The 3,533-nt window shown below is 57.1% G+C and overlaps 1 protein-coding gene across 1 annotated transcript; it reads right to left on the bottom strand.

Annotated features, from left to right (window-relative positions):
- Positions 1-361: 361 nt before the first annotated feature.
- On the bottom strand, positions 362-3,322 carry CST2 (cystatin SA). Its single transcript, NM_001322.3, has 3 exons — positions 3,026-3,322; positions 1,803-1,916; positions 362-696 (listed from the first exon to the last, which is right to left on the bottom strand). Exons 1-3 carry the CDS (start codon positions 3,251-3,253, stop codon positions 613-615), a joined length of 426 nt encoding a protein of 141 aa, NP_001313.1. The 5' UTR covers positions 3,254-3,322; the 3' UTR covers positions 362-612.
- Positions 3,323-3,533: the final 211 nt, after the last annotated feature.

Consider the following 3,533-nt stretch of genomic DNA (forward strand, 5'->3'; position numbering starts at 1 on the left):
CCGAGGCCTGAGCCCTGCCTGTGGACACAGCCAGCCCCCTCCTCCTGGTTGGACCAGTAGCTCAGACCAAAGCAGCAGCCCAGCTTCCCGGGCAGCAGTCTGGCCCACTCCTCTCCCTGACCCCCTCACCAGAGGCTGCTGCACCTGAAGGCCTGGGTTTCCAGCCCCTGGCTGCTGTCTCCCTGTTCTAAAGCTCAGGCCTCCAAAAGTGGCAGCAGCTCCCCTGACAGCCTTGCTGTGGCCATGTCAGGTCCCAGATACTCCTCTGATCTCCACACAAGCAGAACAAGGAGGCTTCATAAAGGAACTGCAGAAACCCTGCCTGTGTGCACATCCCCAGACAGCCAAGAACTCAGAGGGAGGTGATGCTACTGTTTAATTGCAGGAGGTGGGGGTGTGTGTACCATGTACCAGGGCTATGAGAAGCAAAAGGAAGGAGGGAGGGCAGAGTCCCCTGCTGAGCAACAAAGGCCTCCTGCAGCCTTCTCTGTCTTCTCCTGCTGCAGGTGCATGGGGAGACCTCCCACAGGGTGGGGGCCACCAGTCCAGGGGTGGGAGCACTACAAGGGGTGGGAGTAGGAGGTGGTCAGTGTGACTCCCTGGCACAGATCCCTAGGCTTCTTGACACCTGGAATTCACCAGGGACATTCTGTCCTCCCAGGGAACTTCGTAGATCTGGAAAGAGCACAACTGTTTCTGTGAAAGGGAAGAGAGAGGGCCAATCAGTGTGAGTTACAGTTAAAGGGGAAGTCACCCAGGCATGAGATGTCACAGCCTGAGTGAGGAGGATGGAGGTGAGACACTGGGCCCTCACCCACCCCTGCTGAGTCCCAGAGCACTGAACTAGAATGAATAGTGACTGTTCCATTGCCCCTCCCAAGGCTCCAAGTCACCAGGTGGCATTGGGCCCCCACCGCAGCCTGCAGTGTCCTGTCCCAGCACAGCCCTGTGAGGATCAGCCTGTGCAAGACCTTGGGAGCCCCAAGGGTGCAGGGCATGGGGAGGTGGCTCACTTCCCCCAGCTCCTTCCACCTCCAGCACTCAGGCCAGCACTAAGAGGGGCCAGAGGGAAGAACCCAGAGCAGGGCAACTCCGCCTCAAAGAGCTGGGGCATGGGGCAATGGTAACAAGGGGAGTGTGGCTCTCCCCTGAGTGGAGACCTCACAAGAACCAGCAGGTCCCTGGAGAGGCTGGTGTTGGGTGAGCCGGGCAGGTCCAGGGCTTCCCAGCTAACAGGCCTCTAGGTCCCACTAATCTGATCATTGTGTCTGTGGCTGCATGCAGGTACCTGAGGCTGGGATTAGACAGAGCCCCTTCTCCCTGCCCAGCACACAGCCCCACAGCTGCTTCTTCCTGTCCAACAGGCAACACCCCAAAGCAGGCAGAGTTGATCTCCCAGTAACCATTCCCAAGCTGAAGGCTTCCTAGCAAATCAAACACATCACCCTCCTCCCTCACCACCCCATCTGCACACACATAGGCAACTACGTAAACTCACTTGGACCCCTCAACCCCATGGATCTATGTACAAACCCCCAGAATCCCCACACACAGGCACACATGCTCCCATACAGCTCCCTGCACACACTGGCACATGTGTGTACACACATGCACCTTTCCACATGCACATCTACATGCACAACCCTCCACAAGTACATGAACATGTATACATCCATGCATACATGACTCCCCACATACCCACCTGCACACACACACCCTCCAAACATGTGTAGGGCAGAGACTGACACATACGCACCCCTCTGCAGTGCATGACTGGCCTGGGACCCGCATCAGGAACGTACCTTCTGCAGTTCTGGCTGTTCATGGAAGGCACAGGTGTCCAAGTTGGGCTGGGACTTGGTACATATGGTTCGGCCCACCTCTATGTCGAAGAAGTAATTCACCCCGCCCACGATCTACACACATGAGAAAACAGGATGCACGGACAGCGCCCCCATCAGTTCATGCACTCACAGGCACTTCACTGTGGCTGAGTCACTGGACTTGCTTGGGGGCTTCGTGAGCTGCCCACATGTCAACACAAGGCACACAAGCCCCCTCTTCCTGTCAGCTGGCAGGGTGCTGGGCCTCATGCCCCCTCTTAAATATTGTTTTCTCTGTGCTGGGTAAAAGGATTCATTGAATTCTGCCACCTGTGGCTCAGGGGCAAGGGAACACTGACTCTTTTTACCCATGGGTGTCAGTTTACCCATGTATAAAATAGGCGTCCGGGCCTGATGGTCTGCAATGCCCTGTGCTTCACTCCAAGTTATTGTCATGCTTGAAAGGGAGGTGGAGGCAAGCGGGGACCATGGCACCAGGGAGTGCACCTCCCGTGCAGGGTGAGGGTCCCAGTTGACAGCTGCAGGAGGAGAAATGGGGCTGGTCTGGATTCCTTTGAATTTCCAAGAGAAGGTGGAGGAGCTCTAAAGCCTGTGTCACTATTTGCTGCTCTGCCATGGGATGCAGGTAAAGCTGGGCCCAATAGCCCTTCTGAAGCTCTCTCTTGACCTGACACCTCCTCCTCTCTACTGGGTAACTGCTGTCCTCATCTGGCTGAGGTCTAACTCTGCATCAACTCATAGAGGCAGGGTCAGGCGTGCTCCACCCCAGCAGGGACTCAGCTGCCCTGGGCTGTAGGGGGTGGTCAGCCGGCCTGAGGGTGAAGGCCATTAGCCCTAAAGGGCTGTACCCACGGGTGTGACTTGGGGAGTGAAGTAGGGCTCTGCAGAACAGGAAGCGAAGTTCCTGTGTGGCCCCTGAGGAGAGGACTCAGGGAGGAGGGTGAGCCTCATGGCCTGGATCTCATCCTGAGCAGCATCAAGCCCATCCAGAGTCAGCATAGTCTCCATCCCCCGGGAGCATGCTTAGGCATGAAGGCCATAAGCAGAGAGTCAGGGAAAGCTGAATGAATCTGAGCATTAGATCATGAATGTATCAGTGTTGATGTGCTGCGAATGCTCTTATGGATCGGGCAACAAACAAGGCTGGGACTCAGGACCCCTCAGGTGGAGGCAGCACCCACCTGCTCCCTGGCTCGTAGCACCCGCAGCAGGCGTCTGTAGTACTCATCTTCAGTGGCCTTGTTATACTCGCTGATGACAAAGTGAAGGGCACGCTGTACCCGCTCATCATTGAGGTCTGCATCATAGATGCCACCCTCGATTATCCTGTCCTCCTCCTGGGGGCTCCAGGCCAGGGCCACAGCCTGGGTGGCCAGCAGGAGCAGCAGGGTGCACAGGGGCCAGGCCATGGTCTCCTCGGAGGCAGAGCACAGAGCTGGAGCTGCAGGAGAGGAGGTTGAGAGCCTGAGGCGGGGATCCCAGACCAGCAGGCAGCTGTGCATTTATCCTGCTTTGGCAGCTCAGCCCCACCCCCCTCCATGACCTGCCCCTGACTCCTCCTCCTCTTTCTGCTCATTCCCTCTTTCTCCATCTCTCTTTTCACTCCTCAGAAACCACAAGATCCCTCCCTGCCTAAGTTCTCCCTGCCCCTCCCAGGCCTCCTCCTCTATCTACCCCTCCTCCCCACTC

The sequence above is a fragment of the Homo sapiens genome, chromosome 20 (genome assembly GCF_000001405.40).
Source record: "Homo sapiens chromosome 20, GRCh38.p14 Primary Assembly".
NCBI classification, from domain to species: Eukaryota; Metazoa; Chordata; class Mammalia; order Primates; family Hominidae; genus Homo; species Homo sapiens.

Coding starts and splice junctions, on each gene's coding strand:
- CST2 (NM_001322.3), bottom strand. CDS start 3,253: ATGGCCTGGCCCCTGTGCACCCTGCTGCTCCTGCTGGCCACCCAGGCT. Junction 1,917..3,025: donor TGCTACGAGCCAGGGAGCAG/GTGGGTGCTGCC, acceptor TCATGTGTGTAG/ATCGTGGGCGGGGTGAATTA. Junction 697..1,802: donor AACAGCCAGAACTGCAGAAG/GTACGTTCCTGA, acceptor TCCCTTTCACAG/AAACAGTTGTGCTCTTTCCA.